This window comes from Homo sapiens, chromosome 3, assembly GCF_000001405.40.
Source record: "Homo sapiens chromosome 3, GRCh38.p14 Primary Assembly".
In the NCBI taxonomy this organism is placed as follows: domain Eukaryota; kingdom Metazoa; phylum Chordata; class Mammalia; order Primates; family Hominidae; genus Homo; species Homo sapiens.
The window spans coordinates 49,031,274-49,055,047 of record NC_000003.12 but is presented as its reverse complement, the minus strand read 5'-3'; the positions used below and the strand labels follow the sequence as shown (position 1 = coordinate 49,055,047).

At 45.4% G+C, this 23,774-nt stretch overlaps 1 protein-coding gene across 10 annotated transcripts in view; it reads left to right on the top strand.

The window, feature by feature from the left end:
* QRICH1 (glutamine rich 1) overlaps positions 1-23,774 on the top strand; it is a 64,667-nt gene that overhangs the window by 39,326 nt on the left and 1,567 nt on the right. For all 10 annotated transcript variants that reach the window (NM_001320584.1, NM_001320585.1, NM_198880.3 and 7 more), the window contains 6 exons: positions 7,802-7,979; positions 8,469-8,623; positions 10,544-10,658; positions 21,820-21,928; positions 22,275-22,426; positions 22,775-22,865. In NM_001320584.1, coding sequence (NP_001307513.1) covers positions 7,802-7,979; positions 8,469-8,623; positions 10,544-10,658; positions 21,820-21,928; positions 22,275-22,426; positions 22,775-22,865 — 800 coding nt within the window. The remainder of the gene's footprint in view (positions 1-7,801; positions 7,980-8,468; positions 8,624-10,543; positions 10,659-21,819; positions 21,929-22,274; positions 22,427-22,774; positions 22,866-23,774) is intronic.

Genomic DNA, 23,774 nt, shown 5'->3' with positions numbered 1-23,774 from the left:
GGATTTCTTTTCCTTCGAATTATTTATAAGGCAGAATAATTATGACATATACACAAAGACAAACTGGGAATTTAGAAATTCTAGGTTAAGAAGTCAACAGAGGTCTTTGTGGACAAAATGACGTTTGAACTGTAGTTTATTTATTTTTGAGACAGGTTGTTGCTTTGTTTCCCAGGTAGGAGTATGGTAGTGATCATAATTCACTGTAGCCTCTAACTCCTGGGCTCATAAAATCCTCCCGCCTCAGCCTCCCAAGTAGCTGGGACTATAGGCACAGACTACCACACTCGGCATATATATATATTTGTAGAGACAGGGTCTCACTGTGTTGCCCAGGCTGCTCTTGAACTCCTGGCCTCAAGTGATCCTCCCACCTTGGCCTCCCAGAATGTTGGGATTACAGGCATGAGCCACTGCACCCTGCCTTGAACTGTTGAACTGTAGTTTATAGTTTAGATAAACAAAAGAATGGAACAGCATAAATACAGAGCCAAGGATGGACAGAAGGGACATGCCCTAATGCAACTTGAGAAGGGAACTGTGAGAATGGAGTTAGTATTGAGGGGTGGGGGTGGGGTTGTTGCCTTCCCAAAGTAGAACTGAGTTTGATCTAATCTGTGGTAGGAAATCAGGAATTTCCTAGATTTGTGGTAACAGGAGGAATCAAGTAGATGTGTGTAGAATTGACTGCATATAGGAGAAACTAGCCAGTAGATTTGTAACAGGTCTCTATGCTCAGCTTTTGTTCACAGAGATGGAGCCCATTAGGCCTCCCCTAGCTCTCCTGGGCCTGATGGTCCAATTGCAGGTCAGTGCCTCATTTGGTACTTAGTGGTCTCTGTTTATAATTTCCATGTCTGGGTCTTCAGCAGGAGAAGATCCTTTCTGGAGTTCATTTTAGTGGGCCAGTGTTCTTCAGAGGCTGTATCTGATTTGGGAAAGTCTTAGAGTGATTTACATGAAGTTATTATTACCAGAAATAGAAAAATTGTGAAGAATCCCGATTTTCCATCCCAAGGGAAAGATGCCAAGGGAAAGATGAGTTTGTCTATATATACCACAAACATCCCTCTCCCCTCTTATGCAGGCTCTGTGCTAGGAGCTGGGGAATAGAGATGAATAAGACAGTCTTTTCTACCCTTGGACCACTTTACAGCACATGCAGAAGACAGTCAAGTTGAACCCTAAGGGGAGCTAGTGACAAAATGTGTTCCTTCATCTGCCACAGGTTGGAGAGGGCCATACCTTTTATGAAAGCTATCATATCTTCTGTCTTTAAAACCAGATTTATGGTGAAATCTCACTTCCTCACACCAACCGCCATCTGTGGCCCCATTTTTCTGTTCTACTTTATTGCCAGAACTCTAAAGAAACATTATCTACACAAGCTGGGCTCTAGATGCTGTAAAAATTTCCCTTCAACTCATGACTAAATCTGTTCTTGTCAAGGTCAGCAGTGACCCCCCTATAGCCAGTTCAGACCAGCAAGTATGTTTTTATCCTACAGCAACATACAACACAGCAGCCCATTGTTGAGACTTGTTTTTTTTTTTTTTTTTTTGAGACAGGGGGTCTCATTCTGTCACCCAGGCTGGAGTGCAGTGGTGCGATCTCGGCTCACTGCAACCTCCGCCTCCCGAGTTCACACCATTTTGCCTCAGCCTCCCGAGTAGCTGGGACTACAGGCGCCCGCCACCACACCCGGCTAATTTTTTGTATTTTTAGTAGAGACAAGGTTTCACCATGTTAGTCAGGATGGTCTCGATCTCCTGACCTCGTGATCCACCTGCCTCGGCCTCCCAAAGTGCTGGGATTACAGGCGTGAGCCACCGCGCCTGGCCGAGACTTTCTTTAGACTTGCATGTTATTACACATTCCTGATTTTCCTCCTACCCATCTGAATCTTCTTTATTCCCAGGAGGCTTACCGGTGCCTTCTCCTCCTCTCTCTGAATCATACATGTTGATGTTCCTGAGGGTTCAGTATTTGGCCCTCTTCTCCCTAAGGGATTTCTTTCCATTGCCATGGTTTTCAGCATCCTCCAGATGATTCTTGCTGCTGCTGAAGATGATAATCACTGATACTATCTGCCAGTACTACTGTTCTTGATGTTTAACATATTCTTCTAATTTTCACATTAACCTTATGAAGTATGTACTGATACTTCTGTTTTACAGATGAGGAAACTCAGGCACAGAGAGATTAAGTGACAAGGCCAAAGCCATGCTTAAAAAGTGGCAGAATTGGCCAGGCGTGGTGGCTCACACCTATAATCCCAGCACTTTTGGAGGCCGAGGTGGGTGGATCACGAGGTCAGGAGTTAAAGACCAGCCTGGCCAAGATGGTGAAACCCCGTCTCTACTAAAAAATAAAAAAATAAAAAAATTAGCTGGGCATGGTGGTGGGCGCCAGCTACCTGGGAGGCTGAGGCACAGAATTGCCTGAACCTGGGAGGTGGAGGTTGCAGTGAGCCGAGATCGCGCCACTGCACTCCAGCCTGGGTGACAGAGCGAAACTCCATCTCAAACAAACAAACAAAAAAGGGGCAGAATTGAGATTCAACCCTGCATGGGCTGGCCCTGGAGCCTGTGTCTTAATCCCTGTGCTGCACTGACACATAAGTCTCTCGGCCATGCCTTCCTCTGTTTGGAACCTTTTCCACATATTCAGCTGCCTACTTAGCATTTACTTGGACTTATTGACAATACCTCAGATCTTCATTGGCACCATTTCTAAAACTGTCAAACTTCCTTGTCTCAGAAAGTAGTGCTGCTCTCCGCCTAGTTGTTCAAACCAGAAACCCAGGAGTCATCTTTGTGTCTGCTTTCCCTTACTCCCCACAACCAGTTCATCAACAAGCCATGTTGGTTCTACCATCACACCTCTCAAAATCTCTTATATCATCTCCACTGCCACCACTATAGTCTAGGCCACCAGTACTTGCTTCCATTCTTGTTCTTCAATTTATTCTTCATAGAATAATCATAAAATACAAGATTATGTCACTTCCTAGCTTAAAACTCTCCAAGGCTTCCATTATATGTAGGAACAAATTTACACCACAATGTACAATACTCTGTATGAGTAGCTTTCAACCTGGGTTGCATTATTGCCTCCTCCACCCACTGATAGACATTTGGACACGTTTGGAAGAATTTTTGGAAGATGCTTGGGAATGTTAACTGACATTTAGTGTTTGGAAGCACACAGTGAAGGGGGCCTGCTACAGAAGCACTGCCTCCCATGCTCTAGCCACTGCCTACTTGTTCAGCCAGACTCCTGGATTTCCAGTTTGGGTAAATGATGTTGCCATTGAACGAAGGAGAGAGGTAACTCAGGAGAATAGATCTGGGCAGGGAAGCTAATGAATACTCTTTGTAGATGTTAGTTTGAGGTGGCTATGAGTTGTTCAGTTGGAGATGTATAGTACCCACTAGGTATATTAAGCGGAGGGGGGGGGGGGCGCAGGGGGGGTTCTAGCTTGGAGGTACATAGTGGTCACTTTGACAAATATGGATATCCAAACTGGAAAAGTGGGTGAGACTCACCAGGGAGAACATGTAGTTGAAATGAGAAGTGGGTCTATAGAGGAGCTCTATGGTTGACAAACACGTAAGGGCCTGGCAGAGAAAAACCCAAAGCATACAGAGAAATAGCTGCTAGATAGCTGAGGGAGGTCCGGGAGGATGATATATCAGGAAGCCGAGCAGAGTGCAAAGGACAATGTTGTGAGTGACATTGTTGGATGTGCCAGAAAGGTCCAGTAGGTTAAGGCCAAAGCATCCATTGCATTTGACCCTTTCATTTCAGGTGTATGTGACTGGGGAGTACAAGGAGGGTGGTATTGCTGGTAGTGGTGGCAGCAGCTACTACAGGCCACCAAGAAGAGATTGCTCATTTCTGGGGTAGACAGAATAGTGATTGGAGCTCTGAATGCAGCATCTGGATCAAAGGTCTATGGAAATCAGAGAATGAGTCCTCAGATTAAAAGTAGAAGAAAGGGCAAGAATGTCTGGGCCCAGCTAGAGACTTGGCTTTGAGCAAGACGGTAATTGGTGACAAACTTTTTAATAAAACAGTGGGGGAAAGATGGGTTGCTCCCTGAGCTAAGAAAGTACTTATTGACTAGGTAAAGGGAGGCTTGGGCCTGTGGGTGGTGGGGAGGAGGGGATGTCTGCATGGGTCACTCAGCGGCTTCTGTTGCTATTGGGTCCTCTGGCCCTGAGCTCAGCTGCCCTCCTGGTCTGTGCTAGATGTCTTAGAGGGGCATGATGGTTGGCAGTTCATGGAACTGTTTCAAAGAAATTGTTTGAGTAATAGGTTTTTGTTGTTGTTGTTGTTGTTGTTGTTGTTTTTTGTGATCCTTGGATTAGTCAGTGCAGTTAAGGAGAAAAACTGATGCCAAAGATTTTCTTCACAACGCTGCAGATTGAATCAGCTCTTTGCCCTGGACTGTAATTTAATATATCGCAGTATTCTGGGCCTGATGCAAAACTTTGCACATGTTTTTTGAATTTAGTGAGTGAGCGAAACTAGGGCTTTGGGTGATTTGAATTCATTTTTTGCCATTTTATAGCACCTTTGAGAATCCAAGCACATTCTTTTTTTTTTTTTTTTTTTTTTTTGAGACAGAGTCTGGCTCTGTCGCCCAGGTTGGAGTGCAGTGGCACCATCTTGGCTCACTGCAACCTCTGCCTCCCAGGTTCAAGCGATTCTCCTGCCTCAGCCTCCCAAGTAGCTGGGATTACAGGCGTGTGCTACCACACCCGGCTAATTTTTTTTTTTTTTTTTTTTTTTTTGAGACGGAGTCCCGCTCTTTAGCCCAGGCCGGATTGCAGTGGCACAATCTTGGCTCACTGCAAGCTCCGCCTCCCAGGTTCACGCCATTCTCCTGCCTCAGCCTCCCAAGTAGCTCGATCTCCTGACCTTGTGATCCGCCCGCCTCGGCCTCCCAAAGTGCTGGGATTACAGGCGTGAGCCACCGCGCCCAGCCTAATTTTTTATATTTCTGGTAGAGACAGGGTTTCAGCATGTTGGCCAGGCTGGTCTCCAACTCCTGACCTGAAGTGATCTGCCTGCCTCGGCCTCCAGAGTGCTGGGATTATGTGTGAGCCACCGCGCCCAGCTCAAGCACATTCTTTGAACATGTGGTGACTCAGTTCTTGCCTTTCAAAATCAGAGTCCAAACTAAAAAAATGGAAAATCTTGGAATTTTAATATTTTTAGGGTATAAAGATCTCTTCAGAATCTGGCCGGGTATGGTGGCTCACGCCTGTAATCCCAGCACTTTGGGAGGCCAAGGCAGACGGATCACCTGAGGTCGGGAGTTTGAGACCAGCCTGGCCAACATGGTGAAACCCCGTCTCTACTAAAAATACAAAAATTAGCCGGGCATGATGGCAGACACCTGTAATCCCAGCTACTCGGGAGGCTGAGGCAGGAGAATGCCTTGAACCTGGGAGGCGGAGGTTGTGGTGAGCCAAGATCATGCCACTGCTCTCCAGCCTGGGTGGTAGAGCAAGACTTTGCTCAAAAAAAGAATTTTAAAAAGTTGGAAATATTTTAACATTATTCAAACATTCACTTTTTTATTTTTATTTTTTGAGCCAGAATCTTTCTGTGTCACCCAGGCTGGAGTGCAGTGGCACTGTCTCAGCTCACTGTAACCTCCGTCTCCTGGGTTCAAGTGATTCTTATGCTGCAGCCTCCCAAGTAGCTGAGATTACAGGCATGAGCCACTATGCCTGGCTAATTTTTCTATTTTTAGTAGAGATGGGGTTTCACCACTTTTTTTTTCTTTAAATGATGGCTCAACTGTGGCTGGACATTAAAATCACCTGGGAAGGCCAGGCACAGTGGCTCATGCCTGTAATCCCAGCACTTTGGGAGGCCAAGGCGGGCAGATCAGTCGAGGTCAGGAGTTCGATACCAGCCAGCAAGATGGTTCAATAACAGCCGTCTCTACGAAAACTACAAAAATTAGTTGGGCATGGTGGTGCATATCTGTAATCCTAGCTACTCGGGAGGCTGAGAAAGGAGAATCGTTTGAACCTGGGAGGTGAAGGTTGCAGTGAGCCGAGATCGTGCCACTGCACTCCAGCCTAGGCGAAAGAGCAAGACTCCATCTCAGAGGGAAAAAAAAAAAATCACATGGGAAGCTTTTAAAAATACTGACAATGTGCCTCTACCTTACAATGGCTGGAGATAAGGCCCAAGTGTGAGGTTTCTTTCTTTTTTTTTTTTTTTGGTTTTTTTTTTTGTGAACAGAGTCTCACTCTGTTACCCAGGCTGGAGTACAGTGGTGCGATCTCGGCTCACTGCAAGCTCCGCCTCCTGGATTCATGCCATTCTCCTGCCTCAGCCTCCTGAGTAGCTGGGACTACAGGCGCCCGCCACCACACCCGGCTGATTTTTTTGTATTTTAGTAGAGATGGGGTTTCACCGTGTTAGCCAGGATGGTCTCAGTCTCTTGACCTCGTGATCCACCCACCTCGGCCTCCCAAAGTGCTGGGACTACAGGTGTGAGCCACTGCACCCGGCCAGGGTGGGTTTTTTTTTTTTTTTTTTTTTAAAGCAATCCAGATGATTTCAAGGTGAGACCCAGTTTAAGAATCAGTGCTCTCGGCCGATGGCCCAAGCCTGTAGTCCCAGCACTTTGGGAGGCTGAGGAGGGCGGATCACCTGAAGATGGGAGTCAAGACCAGCCTGACCAACATGGAGAAACCCCATCTCTACTAAAAATACAAAATTAGCCGGGCGTGGTGGCACATGCCTGTAATCCTAGCTACTTGGGAGGCTGAGGCAGGAGAATAGCTTGAACCCGGGAGACAGAGGTTGAGGTGAGCCGAGATCCTGCCATTGCACTCCAGCATCCAAGAACAAGAGCGAAACTCTTTCCCCGCCAAAAAAAAAAAAAAGAAAGAAAGAAATGTTGTCTCAGTTCCTACCCTTTTCAATCAGAATATGCATTTTGATAAAATCCCCAAGTGATTTGTTTGCACATTAAAGACTGTGGGAGCAGTGCTTTGAGCCAGTAGTTCTCAGTGGTGACCAAACATTAGAATTACTTTTTTACTTGAGGAGTTTTTTTGTTTTGTTTTGTTTTTTCTTTTTTCTTTTTTCGAGACAGAGTCTCGCTCTATCACCAGGCTGGAGTGCAGTGGTGCAATCTTACTCAAGGAGTTTTTAAACAATTGATACCTTGGCTCCCCCTCAGAGAGATTCTGGGGTAAGTCTGGCTATTAGTGTTTTTAAATAAAAGATTTGACCGGGCACAGTGGTTCACGCCTGTAATCCCAGCACTTTGGGAGACTGAGGCGGGCAGATTACCTGAGGTTGGGAGTTCAAGACCAGCCTGACCAACATGGCGAAACTCCGTCTCGACTAAAATTATAAAATTAGCTGGCCGTGTTGGTGCATGCCTGTAAACCCAGGTACTCGGGAGGCTGAGACAGGAGACTCACTTGAACCCGGGAGGCGGAGGGTGCAGTGAGCTGAGATTGCGCCATTGCACTCCAGCCTGAGCAACAAGAGGAAAACTCCGTCTCAAAAAAAAAAAAAAAAAAAAACATTTAAAAGTGCAGCCAAGGCTGAGAAGCACTGCACTAGCCCAGTTGCAGTGCTGCTTTTGCTGTCCCTGGGGCAAGAGGTAGAACTCCAAAGCTTCTTAAAAGTAGGACAGCAATGAGTAGAGAAATATTTTCTTAAATAAATGAACTATACATAACATTTTTCTGGCAATTTTGCAGAAGGATCTAATATAAAACAATATTGACACATTTTCATGGTTTCTCTCCTATAGGCTCAAACTGTCCAGGTTGCTGAAGTTGAACCACAGTCACAGCCACAGCCTTCCCCAGAACTTCTGCTTCCAAATTCTTTGAAGCCAGAAGAAGGGCTTGAAGTATGGAAAAACTGGGCCCAGACCAAGAATGCTGAACTAGAGAAGGATGCTCAGAACAGATTGGCACCCATTGGGAGTGAGTGTCTTGGAAGAAGAGTGGGCTGTGTCTAAAATGCAATGGTACTAAAGTAACAGGAGGACAAAATGCCAGAAAAGTGGTGTCTCCTGTCTTGGGGACAAGAGAGCAACATCTGTAATAGTATGTTGAATTCAAGCCTAGTAACAAGCAGTACTGACCTTGTGTACATAATAAGCAGGATATGTGGGGTTTGCCCAAAACCAGGCATTTTTAGACATACGGGTTTCAGGAGTTGACCCTACCAGACCTAAGCAGAGTGGCTTCTGGGAGGAAATGGGAACCAGGGATAGGCACTCAAGCCCTTCTTTCTTGGCATTAGGCTCATATACTCATGTTATAGGCCAGTTCTGACATTACAGGCATGAAACATTCTAGTAGATACAAGTGAGCATTTCTATCCCAGCACCCTGATGGGCAGTATCTGTTCTGAGCCTTCCAGATATGGACCCCCAGGACCTTCATTCATTTTTGAGGCTTCCGTTGCAGGGCGCCAACTGCTGCGATTCCAGGAAGATCTCATCTCCTCTGCTGTGGCAGAGTTGAATTATGGGCTCTGTCTAATGACACGGGAAGCTCGAAATGGAGAAGGTGAACCCTATGACCCAGATGTGCTCTACTATATTTTCCTGTGTATTCAAAAGGTAGGAAACAGATCTTCACAAGAACATGTTTGAGCTGTGTTCCTATTGGATGTTTGCTAGTTTAGTTAATAAATTGATAAGCAAGAAGTTAAAATAAGGAAGTTCTCTTTCAGGTATACAGTGAGTTTTAAAATACACATTTGTTGTTTTTTTTTTTTTTTTAAGTTTTAAAAACCTACACGTTCACTTTAGAAAATAACAGCCGGGGCCGGGCGCTGGTGGCTCACGCCTGTAATCCCAGCGCTTTGGGAGGCCGAGGCAGGTGGATCACTTGAGGTCAGGAGTTGAAGACGACCAGCCCAGCCAACATGGTGAAACCCCATCCACTAAAAATAGAAAAATTTGCCAGGTGTGGTGGTGCACTGCCTATAATCCCTGCTATTTGGGAGGCTGAGGCATGAGAATCGCTTGAACCCGGGAGGTAGAGGTTGCAATGAGCTGAGATCACAGCATTTTACTCCAGTCTGGGTGACAGAGCGAGACTCTGTCTCAAAAATTAAAAAAAAAAGAAAAGAAAAGAAAAAAAATAAGAGCCAGGCAAGATGTCTCACACCTGTAATCCCAGCACTTTGGGAGGCTCAAGGCAGGAGGATCGCTTGAGCCCCAGGAGTTTGAGACCAGCCTAGGCAACATAGTGAAACCCCATCTCTACAAAAAATTAGCTGGGTATGGTAATGCATGCCTGTAGTCCCAGCTACTTGGGAGGCTGAGGTGGGAGGATTGCTTGAGCCCCAGAGGTTGGGGCTGTAGTGAGTCATGATTATGTCACTACACTCCAGCCTGGGTGACAGAGTGAGACCCTGTCTGAAAAACGAAAAGAAAAAAAATTAGCTGGGTGTGGTGGCACACACCTGTAGTCCCAGCTATTTGGGAGGCTGAGGCAGGAGGATCCCTTGAGCTCAGGAGTGCGAGGCTGCATTCAGCTATGATTGTGCCATCACACTTCAATCTGGTCTACAAAGCAAGACCTTGCCTCTTAAAAAATAAATACATAAAATAAATAATAAAATAGGAAAACAAACATTATTCATCCTACTACCTAAACTTCTATTACATTATTGGTAATTACCTTGACTTTTTTTTTTTTTTTTTTTTTTTGTAATTCACAAAGCATTTATGTAACACTTTTCTTTTTGTTAAACCTGATTTTCATGAAGGTAATTTATTCAAAACAGAGTCTTGTGCCAGCATAGAGGTTTTCTTCTCATTGTTCCCTGCACTAACTACTTATTTGAAGGAGTCTAGCTAGAATAATATACCAATGTAGTTAGGTTTTCAGGACATCTGTGGTGAAGCATAACAGAAATTTGCAGACTGGCAGTTCAAGGGAGCAGAGGTGGATTTCTTAGTGTTTGAAGGCTCTTGAGGAGAAACCCACAGTATAATAGAATAGGGCTTACTGGTTGGGACTTATTCTGTTGCCTAGTCTTGAGAAATGTCTGCCTCCTAGTTTTTTCCTCTCTTGGTGGTCCTAACCTAAGTACTATGTGAATTGCTTTACATGCTTTCATTCTTTGCTCTCCCAGTCCTGGAAGGCAGATACCATCATCTCCATTTACAGGCAAGGAAACTGAGTCTCAGAAATTAAAAGACTTGCACATGTTGTTTAACTTATACAATATCTAATGGAAGGCTGACCCCAGAGCCTATTCATGATTTTTGCTAACACAAAATAATGCCTTTCTTGGGTGAAATAGCATTCACAACATCTGCCTTATTTACCCAACTCTCAAGAATGTCATGAGAATCAGTCACATGAGCTTAGGCATACTATGGAAGTGTCACATGCTGGTGCCTTGGTTTGTTGAGGTGTGAATGGGTAGGGAAGGATAGTAGTACTGGTAGAAAAATATATTTATTTCCCCTGAAATCCTTGTTCAGGAGACTACCAATAACTTCTATTAATTGTTTTTCTTTTAGTATCTTTTTGAAAATGGAAGGGTAGATGACATTTTCTCCGATCTTTATTATGTTCGGTTCACGGAGTGGCTACATGAAGTTCTGAAGGATGTTCAGCCCCGGGTCACTCCACTTGGTAAGAGTCTCCCTTGTCCTTGGATATCTTTCCTACCTGGATTTAAGAAAGATCAATAGCTTCTGTGGTTGGCTATGAAAAGCATGTGAGTGAGGGGGGATATAAATCCCAGACTGCAGCAGCATTGGCCACTGTGCTACTTGCCCTGATAGGGAAGAGGCACTGCTCACCAGAGAAGCCTGCTGGTTCCAGTGTGGGAAGGACACAGGAACAAGCAGAACTAGTGGGGTAGTTACTATCTTTTTTTTCCTATTAAAATGTATTGATTAAAATTAGAATCATAACAATTAAGGATTATGGACAGTTTTATCTGTAGAGCATAATTTTTGCTTTACTCACAGGCAGCCTTCTGGACAGCATGTTCTATTGGAACAAAAGCATAGGTTATTCAGTGTTTTTCTTTGTTTGTTCTTAAAAAAACATGGTCTTGGTATGTTGCTGAGATGGGCCTCAAACTCCTGAACTCAAGCGATCCTCCTACCTCAGCCTCCTGAGTAGCTGGAGCTATAGGCATGCGCTACTGTGCTCAGCTATTTTTGTTTTGTTTTGTTTTGTTTGAAACGGAGTCTCACTCTATAGCCCAGGGTGGAGTGCAGTGGCACGATCTTGGCTCACTGCAGCCTCCGCCTCCCAGGTCCCAATTCAGGCAATTCTCCTACCTCAGCCTCCTGAGCAGCTGGGATTACAGGCATGTGCCATCATGCCCTGCTAATTTTTGTATTTTTAGTAGAGACAGGCTTTTGCCACATTGGCCAGGCTGGTCTCAAACTCCTGACTTTGTGATCTGCCCACCTCGGCCTCCCAAAGTGCTGGGATTACAGGCGTGAGCCACCACCGTGCCTGGCCTATTTTTGTTTTTAATAGACTTTTTTTTTTTTTTTTTTTTTTTTTTTGAGACAGAGTTTTGCTCTTGTTGCCCAGGCTGGAGTGCAATGGTGTGATCTTGGCTCACTGCAGCATCCACCTCCCAGATTCAAGTGATTCTCCTATCCCAGCCTCCCAAGTAGCTGGGATTACAGGAGCATGCCACCACGCCTGGCTAATTTTTGTATTTTTACTAGAGACAGGGTTTCATCATATTGGTCATGGTGGTCTCGAACTCCTGACCTCAGGTGATCCGCCCACCTCGGCCTCCCAAATGCTGGGATTACAGGCATGAGCCACCACGGCCAGCCAATAGACTTTATGTTTTAGAGTACTTTTAGGTTTCCAGAAAAATTTAGCAGTAAGTACAGAGAATTTCCATATAACTCCTTAAGTATATACCCTCACACACAGTTTCTCCTATCAATAACATGTTGCGTTAGTATGGTACATTTGTTATAATTGATAAACCAATATTGATACATTATTGTTAACTATAGTTCATAGTGCTATGAACTATATTATTGTGTTGTACGTTCTGGTTTACATTCTGTATCTGTTGTACATTCTGAGTTTTGATGAATGTATGATGACATGTGTCACCATCATGGTGTCATATAGAATGTTTACTGCCCTAAAAAATACCTCTTCTGGGCCAGGCATGGTGGCTCACACCTGTAATCCCAGCACTTTGGGAGGCAGAGATGGGCTGATCACTGAATATTGGGAGTTCAAGACCAGCCTGGCTAACATGGTGAAACCCCATCTCTACTAAAAATACAAAAATTAGCCAGGTGTGTTGGCAGGTACCTGTAATCCCAGCTACACGGGAGGCTGAGGTAGGAGAATCGCTTGAACCAGGGAGTCGGAGGTTGTGGTGAGCCAAGATTGCGCCACTGCATTCCAGCCTGGTGACAGAGCGCGACTCCGTCTCAAAAAAAAAAACAAACCTTTTCACCTGTTTATCCCTCCCTCCCCCAGATACCCTGAAAACCACTGATGTTTTTACTATCTTCACAGTTTTGCCTTTTCCAGAATGTCATATAGTTGGAATAATTCGGCATGTGGCCTTTTCAGATTTGTTCCTTTCATTTAGCAATATGCCTTTAAGATTCCTGTGTGTCTTTGGCTGGGTGCAGTGGTTCATGCCTATAATTCCAGCACTTTGGGAGGCCGAGGCATGTGGATCACAAGGTCGGGAGATCGAGACCATCCTGGCTAACACGGTGAAACCCCGTCTCTACTAAAAAATACAAAAAAATTAGCCGGTTGTGGTGGTGGGTGCCTGCAGTCCCAGCTACTCGGGAGGCTGAGGCAGGAGAATGGCATGAACCTGGGAGGCAGAGCTTGCAGTGAGCTGAGATCGTGCCACTGCACTCCAGCCTGGGCGACAAGAGCAAGAGTCTGCCCCGTGCCACCCCCGCCCCCCCGCCCAAAAAAAAAAAAAAACACAGTCTGGGCGCGGTGGCTCACGCCTGTAATCCCAGCACTTTGGGAGACCAAGGCAGGTGGATCACTTGAGACCAGGAGTCCGACACCAGCCTGGCCAACACATAAAACGTTGTCTCTACTAAAAATACAAAAAATTGGCTGGGAGCTGTGGTTCACACCTGTAATCCCAGATAATCCCAGAGCTTTGGGAGGCTGAGGCAGGTAGATCATGATATCAGGAGATCGAGACCATCCTGGCTAACACTGTGAAACCCCGTCTCTACTAAATACAAAAAATTAGCTGGACGTGGTGGCATGTGCCTGTAGTCCCAGCTACTCGGGAAGCTGAGGCAGGAGAATTGCTTGAACCAGGGAGGCAGAGGTTGCAGTGAGCTGAGACCACGCCACTCCACTCCAGCCTGAGTGACAGAGTGAGACTCCGTCTCAGAAAAAAAAAAAGGAGTAGCAGCTGGTTGCAGTGGCTCACACCCATAATCCTAGCACTTTGGGAGACCGAGGTGGGAAGATCAGTTGAGCCCAGGAGTTTGGGACCAGCCTGGTCAACAAAGTGAGACCCCCATCTCATTCATAATAAATATCTAGGCTGGGCCTGGTAGCTCACACCTGTAATACCAGTATTTCGGGAGGCCATGGTGAGAGGATTGCTTGAGCCCAGGAGTTCAAGACCAGTCTGGGCAACATGGTGAGATCCTATCTCCACCAAAAAATAAAACACACACACACACACACACACATATTAAATATCTGACCAGATACCTCACCAAAGAAAATGCATTGATGGCACATGAGTATATGAAAAGATGGGCTGGGTGCGGTGGCTCACGTCTGTAATCCTAGCACTTTAGGAGGCCAAATGTGGGTGCATCACTTGAGGTCGGGAGTTCAAGACCAGCCTGGCCAATATGGGGAAACCCATATCTACTAAAAAAAATACAAAAATTAGCTGCGTGTGGTGGCACGTGCCTGTAATCCCAGCTACTTGGGAGGCTGAGGCAATAAAATCACTTGAACCCAGGAGGTGGAGGTTGCATTGAGTTAAGATCACTTGCCACTGCACTCCAGCCTGGGCAACAGAATGAGATTCTGTCTCCAAAAAAAGATGCTCTCATCAGGTGTCATCAGAGAGTTGCAAATTGAAGTAATGAAATACTACTGTACATTTATTAGAATGGCAGAAATTCAAAACACCGACAGCACCAAATGCTGACACAGATAGGGAGTAACATGTCATTTATCACTTGTGGAAATGCAAAAAGACACAACCACTTTGGAAGACAATTTGGCAGTTTCTTACAAAAGTAAACATTGTTGCCTTATGATGCAGCAGTTGCATTCCTTGACATTCAGAGAAGTTTAAAACTTGTGTTCACGCAAATATCCGAGTTTTAATCCCTGTTTAATTTAATAAAATACATTTATTAAAATGTATGCTGCTTTACCCTTAAAAAAGAAACTTACTGGTTAGACAAATTTTTTGAGTGCCTACTATGTGCCCAGCAGTCTGCTAGGTGCCGGAGAATATAATATAGCAGTGAAGAAAATGGAGCTTGCACTATAGTAAGGCAAGACAGTGTATAAATAAGTAAGTTAACTCTAGTACTTTGTCTTTTTTTTTCCCCTCCTTTTTTGTGGAGAGCAAGGTCTTGCTGTATTGCCCAGGCAGGTCTCCAACTCCTGGGCTCCAGCTATCCTCCCACCTCTGCCTCCCTAAGAGCTGGGATTACAGGTGTGAGCTGCTGCGCCTAGCAATTTAAGTACTTTGAAGAACAGAACACAAAGGAATGGAAAGTGTTAAGAGTATTACAAGGGAGGGCTATTGTTGGAACAGAGACATGAGTGACTACATCACTCTACATAATTTGGAAGTTTTCAAGCCAAGTATGGATATGCAGACTTCACTTTTCAGTCTGTTATTATGGAAGTTTCAAACATAAATAAACAATAGATTAATGAATTCCCCCATGTACCCATTTTCCATGGCAAATCTTTTTTTGTTGCTGTTTTTTGGCTTTTGAGACGGAGTCTCACTCTATCGCCCAGGCTGGAGTGCAGTGGTATGATCTCGGCTGACTTCAACCTCCGCCTCTGGGGTTCAAGTGATTCTCGTGCCTCAGCCTCCCAAGTAGCTGGGAATACAGGCATGTGCCCCACGCCCAGCTAATTTTTTTGTATTTTTAGTAGAGACAGGGTTTCACCATGTTGGCCAGGCTGGTCTCAAACTCCTGACCTAAAGTGATCCGCCTGCCTCAGCCTCCCAAAGTGCTGGGATTACAGGCATGAGCCACCGAGCCTGGCCTGTTGCTGTTTAATTCCTTTTTGTTTGTTTTTGTTTGTTTTTAAGTTTATTTTTTCCATTTTAAACCTTATGTATACCACCACCTGTTTCCCCTCTCCTGTATTGGAAGTAAATTCCAGATACTTTATCCATACTTTTTTTTTTTTTTTTTTTTTTTTTGAGATGGAGTCTCTGTGTTGCCTAGGCTGGAGTGCAGTGGTGCAATCTCAGCACACTGCCACCACCTCCTGGGTTCAAGAAATTATTGTGCCTCAGCCTCCGAGTAGCTGGGATTACAGGCACCTGTCCAGGCTGGTCTCAAACTTCTGGCCTCAAGTGATCGGCCCGCCTCGGCCTCCCGAAGTGCTGGGATTTCAGGCATGAGCCACCGGGCCCAGCCTATCATACTTACTTACTTATTTATTTATTTACTTATTTATTTGAGACAGATCCTCACTCTGTCGCCCAGGCTGGAGCGCAATGACACGATCTCGGTTCACTGCAACCTCTGTCTGCCAGGTTCCAGCAATTCTCCTGCCTCAGCCTCCCTAGTAGCTGGGATTACAGGCATGTGCCACAACACCCAGATAATTTTTATATTTTTAGTAGAGATGGAGTTTCACCATGTTGGCCAGGCTGGTCTTGAACTCCTGACCTCAGGTGATCCACCCGCCTCAGCCTCCTAAAGTGCTGGGATTATAGGCGTGAGCCACTGCGCCTGGCCCGGTTATGTCTTTTAATATTTACTTTTTATTTATTTATTTATTTTTTTGAGATGGAGTCTCACTTTGTCTTCCAGGCTGGAGTGCAGTGGCACGATCTTGGCTCACTGCAACCTCTGGCTCCTGGATTCAAGCAGTTCTTCTGCCTCAGCCTCCCAAGTAGCTGGGACTACAGGTGCATGCTGCCACACCCGGATAATTTTTTGTATTTTAGTAGAGACGAGGTTTCACTGTGTTGCCTAGGCTTGTCTTGAACCTCTAACCTCAGGTGATCCACCTGCCTCAACCTCCCAAAGTGCTAGGATTACAGGCGTGAACTACGGAGCCCGGCTCATACTTTAAAAAATAATTTAAAAAAATGGCTGGGCACAGTGGCTCACGCCTGAATTCCCAGCACTTTGTGAGGCTGAGGTGGGCCGACCACGAGGTCAGGAGTTCAAGACCAGCCTGGCCAATTATGGTGAAACCCCATCTCTACTAAAAAAATTACAAAAATTAGCTGGGTGTGGTGGTGGGAGCCTGTAATCCCAGCTACTCGGGAGGCTGAGGCAGGAGAATCACTTGAACCCAGGAGAGGCGGGGTTTGCAGTGAGCCGAGATCACACCATTGCACTCCAGCCCAGGCAACAGTGCAAGACTCAGTCTCAAAAAAATAATAATAATTAAATCAACAAAAAAGGTAAATCCATAATGTAATTAAAATCTACCCTTTATTAGGCTGGGCGCAGTGGCTCATGCTTGTAATCCCAGCACTTTGGGAGGCCGAAGCGGGTGGATCATGAGTTCAGGAGATCGAGACCATCCTGGCTAACACGGTGAAGCCCTGTCTCTACTAAAAATACAAAAAAATTAGCTGGGCGTGGTGGTGAGTGCCTGTAGTCCCAGCTATTATGGAGGCTGAGGCAGGAGAATGGTGTGAACCCGGGAGCTGAGCTTGCAGTGAGCCGAGATCGCGCCACTGCCCTCTAGCCTGGGCAACAGACCGAGACTCTGTTTTAAAAAAAAAAAATCTACCCTTTATTAAAATTTTTAATAGTCTTATAAATTTCATTATTTTGATTTATCTGAATCAAGGTCAAAATTAAGTCTACATATTGAAATTGGCTGTTGTGTTTTTGTTTTTGTTTTTTCTTGAGACGGAGGCTTGATCTCGGCTCACTGCAACTTCCGCCTCCCAAGTTCAAGCAATTCTGCCTCAGCCTCCTGAGTAGCTGGGATTACAGGCGCGCACCATCACACCCAGCTAATTTTTATATGTCTGGTAGAGATGGGATTTCACCAGGTCAGGCTGGTGTGGAACTCCTGACCTTGTGATCTGCCCGTCCCCTGCCCTTTTTTTTTTTTGGATACAGAGTCTCTCTCTCTTGCCCACGTTGGAGTTCAGTGGTGCAATCTCGGCTCACTGTAACCTCCACCTCCTGGGTTCAAGTGATTCTCCTGCCTCAGCCTCCCGAGTAGCTGGGACTACAGGCGCCTGCCACCACACCCAGCTAATTTTTGTATTTTCAGTTGATACGGGGTTTCACCATGTTGGCCGCGCTGGTCGCGAACTCTTGAGCTCAGGCAATCCACCTGCCTCAGCCTCCCAAAGTGCTAGGTTACAGGTGTGAGCCACCTTGCCTGGCCTTAATATTTACTGTTCATCTTAATTGCCCCCCTCCCTTTTGTCTTACAGTATATTCATGGAAGAAACTAGCCTTTGAAATTGTCACACAGTCTAATTTTTGCTGATTGCACTCTGTAGTGTAGTTTAACATGTTCTTTTTTCCCCATGTATCTACAATTGATTGGTAATTGAATATACAGATTGATTCCGGATTTTTTGTTTTGTTTTGTTTTTGGCAAGATTACTTCATAGTTGGCCTTTCTTTGATCACAGTGCCCATAATGTCTGAATCCATTGATTCTTTATGGGTTGCAAAACAGTATTCTAATGTTATTATTACTTCATAATTACTTGGAATATAAAGATAAACTTTCCTTTTTTTTTTTTTTTTTTTTTTAAGAGACGGGGGTCTCGATTTATCACCCAGGCTGGATTGCAGTGATGGGAACACGGCTCACTGTAGCCTGTAGCCTCAACCTCCTGGGCCCAAGCGATCCTCCCACCTCAGCCCTCCATGTAGCTGGGGGCCATAGGCACATGCCATCATGCTTGTTTAATTTTTGTATTTTTTGTAGAGATGGGGTTTTGCCATGTTGCCCAGGCTGGTTTCGAACTCCTGAGCTTAGGCATTCCGCACACCTCGGCCTCCCAAAGTACTGGGATTACAGGCATGAGCCACTGTTCCTGGCCCTAACTTTCCCTCTTTAACTCTTTGGGTTCATGATGGTATAGATTGTATAGAAGAGGAAGGGTTAACGGCTGTTTTTTTTTTTTGTTTTTTCTTTTTTTCTTTGCTTAGCCAGTTTTCACAAAAATGAGTTAGTTCATCAGCTTCTCTCAGTGATGTCCAATTAAGGTTTTCTTGTTTTAAGAGTCATTGTGAACTTACAGATTTAAACGTATTTAATGAGATTCAGCTGTTTGCAGTCATCTTTACTGATGCACAAATGTCCCATCATTGGCCATTAGAAGCCTCTTTAAATTGACCCCTAAGTCCTTTTGACATGACCCTAGTTGTCTTTCTTGATTTCTGATTTCACAGAATGTTTCAGTCCCATCTTGGACATTTCTTGTTCTAGTGTAGAATCCTTCAGTTCTGGAGCCTGGTTCCTTTTATTGGGGAATGGTATTTCAGTGCCTTACTCTGTATGCCAGGGGTGCTTATTGTTCCTAGATTGGTCTTGTTTCTAGGATCTTCAGTGGGCAGAACTAGAAATTGTTTTTAAAGATAAAATACATCATTTTGGTGCCTGTAGTTCAGATTCAGAACTATAAGGCTAATACCTAGGTTTTTTTTATCTATAGCCCCTTACTTCCATGCTAGGAGCCCTGGCCCTCAGTCAATAGAGTCTGTTTTATTTTATTTTGATTTATTTTTTTATTTTGAGACAGGGTCTTGCTCTGTTTCCCAGGCTGGAGTGCAGTGGCACAATCTTGCCTCACTGCAACTTCTACCTCCTGGGCTGAAGCAATCCTTCTACCTCTCAGCTTCCCAAGTAGCTGGGACTGCAGGTGCATACCACCACACCTGGCTAGTTTTTGTTTTTTTTTTTTTTTTTGTAGAAATGGGGTTTTGCCATGTTGTCTAGGCTGGTCTCAAACTCCTAGGTTCCAGTGATCCACCTGCCTTGGCCTCCCAAGGTTACACCCATGAGCCACCATGCCCAGGCTATTTTAGTTTTTCTTACAGGGTCTTGCTTTGTCTCCCAGGCTGGAGTACAATGTCATGATGATAGTTCACTGCTGCCTCACCCTGTTGGGCTCGGGCTGGGACCCAGGCTCAAGCCATTGCACTCAGCTGTTTTTTTTTGTTTTTTTTTTTAAGGTTTTTGTATTGACAGGGTCTCCCTATGTTGCCCAGGCTGGTCTTGAACTCCTGGGTTCAAGCAGTCCTCCTACCTTGGCTTCCCAATGTGCTGAGATTATAGACATGAGTAACCACACCCAGCCAAGTTTATTACAAATTGTAGAGAAGAGAATAAAATTAGGGAAGTGACATCAGAGGGAGCAAGTGACAGAGCGAACCCAGAGAAGTGGAACATGCCAAAGTATGGCAATAATTGTTCCCAGGAGAAAAATTATTTTTTTAAGAAAAGGAAGGCCAGGCATGGTGGCTCCCGCCTGTAATCCCAGAACTTTGGTAGGCCGAGGTAGGAGAATTGCTTCAGCCCAAGATTTGAAGACCAGCCTGGGCAACATAGCAAGACCTCATCTCCACTAAAAATCAAAAAAAATAATCGAGTGTGATGGTGCACACCTGTGATCCCAGCTACTAGGGAGGCTGAGGTGAGAGGATTCCTTGAATCCTTCTTTGCTGAGAAGGGCTGTTTTCTGCTCATCCTGGATCTTGGGGGCTTCAGATATGTCTAAGAGCAGAAAAGCTTTTCCCATTGCCACTGGGTCACAAAATAGCCGAAAAGTAGACAAAAAATAGAGTCAGAACTGCCTTAAAGAGATGGAAATGCACTATTAGAGAGCCAGCTTTGTTTTGGCAAGAGCATAGAACACAGAAGAGGAGTGTATCGGGCAGAATGTTCTTTTTTCTGCTTCCAGGAAGTGTCACACACTGTGCTTGCTTGGAGAATCCCGAAACCCTGCAGGAGAATACTGTTGCCTGCTCCTATCTCATTATGCACCCAGTGCACAAACATGTGCATACTGACTGACTTCAGCACATGAAGGGGCTTGGTAGTCATTCAAATGTCATCTTTCTTTGGTGCAGACCTGGCTGACCAGGGCTCTTATTCAAATTATTGACCTTTGCCTGTACCTAGCTCTGGGCTCACTTATGAACCAGGGTCTTACAGTAACACCAGCCCTGTGGGGGGGATCTTGTAATAGTTCAAATACTGGCATATTGGCTAGGCGTGGTGGTTCACGCCTGTATTTCTAACTGCTCAGGAAACTGGCAGGAGGAGTCTTTGAGTCCAAGAGCTCAAGGCTGCAGTTAGCCATGATTGTGTCACTGTACTCTAGCTTGGGTGACAGAGCGAAACCCCATCTCTTTTTTTTCCCTTTTTTTTTTTTTTGAGACAGGATCTCACTCTGTCACCCAGGCTTAAGTACAGTGGTGCGATCACGGCTCACTGCAGCCTTGACCTCCCAGGCCCAAGGAATCCTCCCACCTCAGCCTCCCTGGTAGCTGGGATCACAGATGTGCACCATCACACGACTAATTTTTTTGATTTTCAGTGGAGATGAGGTCTGGCTATGTTGCCCAGGCTGGTCTTCAACTCTTGGGCTCAAACAATTCTCCCACCTCCGCCTCCCAAAGTTCTCGGATTACAGGCGTGAGCCACCATGCCTGGTCTTCCTTTTTTAAAAAAAGATAAATATTGTAGAAGAGACCCTGTATCTTAGCTAATAATAATAATAATAATAATAATAATAAAATCCCCCAAAGAGTATCAGTCTCTTTATCTAGAGAAGAAATGACAATAGCCGTTTTTTTTGTTTTTTTTGTTTTTTTGTTTTTTTGTTTTTGAGATGGGAGTCTCGCTCTGTTGCCGAGGCTGGAGTGCAGTGGTGCAATCTCGGCTCACTGCAAGCTCCACCTTCTGGGTTCACACCATTCTCCTGTCTCAGCCTCCCGATTAGCTGGGACTACAGGAGCCCGCCACCACACCCGGCTATTTTTTGTGTTTTTAGTAGAGACGGGGTTTCACCATATTGGCCAGGATGGTCTCAATCTCCTGACCTCGTGATCCACCCGCCTCGGCCTTCCAAAGTGCTGGGATTACAGGCATCAGCCACTGCGCCTGGCCGGCCTTGCTTTTTAGAGACAGTTGAGATGAGAGAAGACTTGGTAAGGGCAAACGGGCGTGCATGCCAGTTCTTTGGGTCCTGGACCACCTTTGAAAATATGCAAAGCTCTGTACACTCTCAGAGAATTATGCATATATGCAGAGTTTGGTTTATAGTTTTCTGTACTTCACTGTCTCTGAGGGCAGTCTTTTTGCCCTGTGTTAGCCTTGGATTAGAGGGTAACAACAATCATGTAAGGCTGTGGTTCTCAAGTGTGGTGTTAGAAGTGCTCATCATCAGGTTCCACCTCAGAAACAGATTGGGACCCAGCTATCTGTGTTTTAAGAAGCTTTCCAGATGATTTTTGCCACACTTTAGGGAGAGTCCCCTGATGAAATTTATACTCCTGTGTGGTCCTTATGCTTCACACATCCCATATTGTACCTTTGAGAGACCACCTGCCATCCTCTTGTTGTGACAGTACTCTATTCCTCCTAGGCTATGTCTTGCCCAGCCACGTGACTGAGGAGATGCTATGGGAGTGCAAGCAGCTTGGGGCTCACTCCCCCTCCACCTTGCTGACCACCCTCATGTTCTTTAATACCAAGTAAGTGTTCTAGAGGCTCCACTGCTGGCATCTGTCCAGTGAAGAGTGTGGAAGCTATCCAAGAGGCCTTCTGAATTCCTCTGACATATATTTGAGAAACTGGGCTACTGAAAGCCCTAACCCCACTTGGCTGCATTTTATTTGGTAACCAGTGAGGCAAACACCCTTGCCAGACCCCTACCATCCATCTTGATGTGGTTCCTGCACTGGACACTGCTTGGGTACGGGCCTGCCCAGATCTTGGGAATGTGGGCAGTGGCTCCTCTGAAGCACCAGTGGGCAGAGGATGAGTCATGGTATCCTCCCGGCACCCCTCCCTCTGCCTTGCATTTTACTTGTGATCCAGGTACTTCCTATTGAAGACAGTGGACCAGCACATGAAGCTGGCCTTCTCCAAGGTCTTGCGACAGACAAAGAAGAACCCCTCTAATCCCAAGGATAAAAGCACGAGTATCCGGTACTTGAAGGCCCTTGGAATACACCAGACTGGCCAGAAAGGTAGGGAAAGGAGGCAGGGATGGCAAAAACAGGTGCTACTTGTCCTGCCCTGTCCTGCCCTTGTGCCTGTGAGGCTAGTGATAAGTGTAAAGGTTGGGATTTGCTGGATAAAATTCTCCACTCCCTTCTCCCCAGCCAAAAATTCCAAACTTTCCTCCTAGAAGCAGAGAAGCCCCAGACAGAATAGCTGCCTCTTCCCTTAGTAGTCACTGCCCATGCCTCATACCTTCCCTCCCCCGACCCTGTATTTCCTAGTTGGGCTGGCTGAAAGCCTAAGTTTCCTGATCTGGGCCTGAGGTAAGGCAGTCTGATGCCAGGTCTGTGGTGGTGGGGATGTGTGTTTTATAGTTACAGATGACATGTATGCAGAACAGACGGAAAATCCAGAGAATCCATTGAGATGTCCCATCAAGCTCTATGATTTCTACCTCTTCAAATGGTGAGGCTTTATTGTGACTTGCTGTCCATGTGTGCGCATGTGTGTGTATGCGTGTGCATGCTCACTTGTGTGATCACTTATCATAGGGGAGAGGCATTCTCTAGTCCCAAACCAAGTAAAAACACTTCCAGAAAGCTAAATTTAGAAGCAGCCTTGCTCTGGCTTTCCAAAGGTGTGTGATGTGCCTAGCACTGATAGAAAAAGGGGTCCCGGGTCCCTACAGTCACCTTTCATGAAAAGGGTATGAAGGTACAGAGAATCTACCTTCATCACATATTGAGCATGGCCCTGCTTCCTGACCTTGACCTTTTGTCACTGCCATCATTAATCTAGGTGAGACTCCTCTCAGCTTTTTCTCCCTTTTGCCCCTTCAATGGTTTCTCATTACATAGTAATTCTTTTATGGCAGACAACTCCTTTGATGCACTCCCCCTTGCTAACCTCATGTCTGTGGAGCTCTTAGTTCCCTAGCCACACTAGCTCCTCTCCACTCAAGGACATCATATTATGCCTCTTCTCAACTTAAACACAGCTTATCAGGGAAGCATTTCCAGATTCCCCACCTCTTCCCTGTGACTGTTTCCTCGGTAGCACTTATCACTGTTTTTTATTTTGTATTTGTTTAACTTTAATTGCTACCTGTGTCCCCTCCTATCTGTAAGCTCCATGGGTAGGAAATACTTTTCCTGCCCATTTTTTTAAATATCAGCACCTAGTGCTGACCTGGCACTAGTAACCCTTGAATAAATCTTGAATGGATGGATGAATAACTGTTAGAGGATACAGCATGCCAAGTACTTAATAGAGGTACAGCACAGTTCGGGGGAGGGGGGTGAACCCAAGTTTAGGGCCCCACTGTAATGGCCATCATTATTGGGTAGAAAACACAACATGAGGCTGGGCACCGTG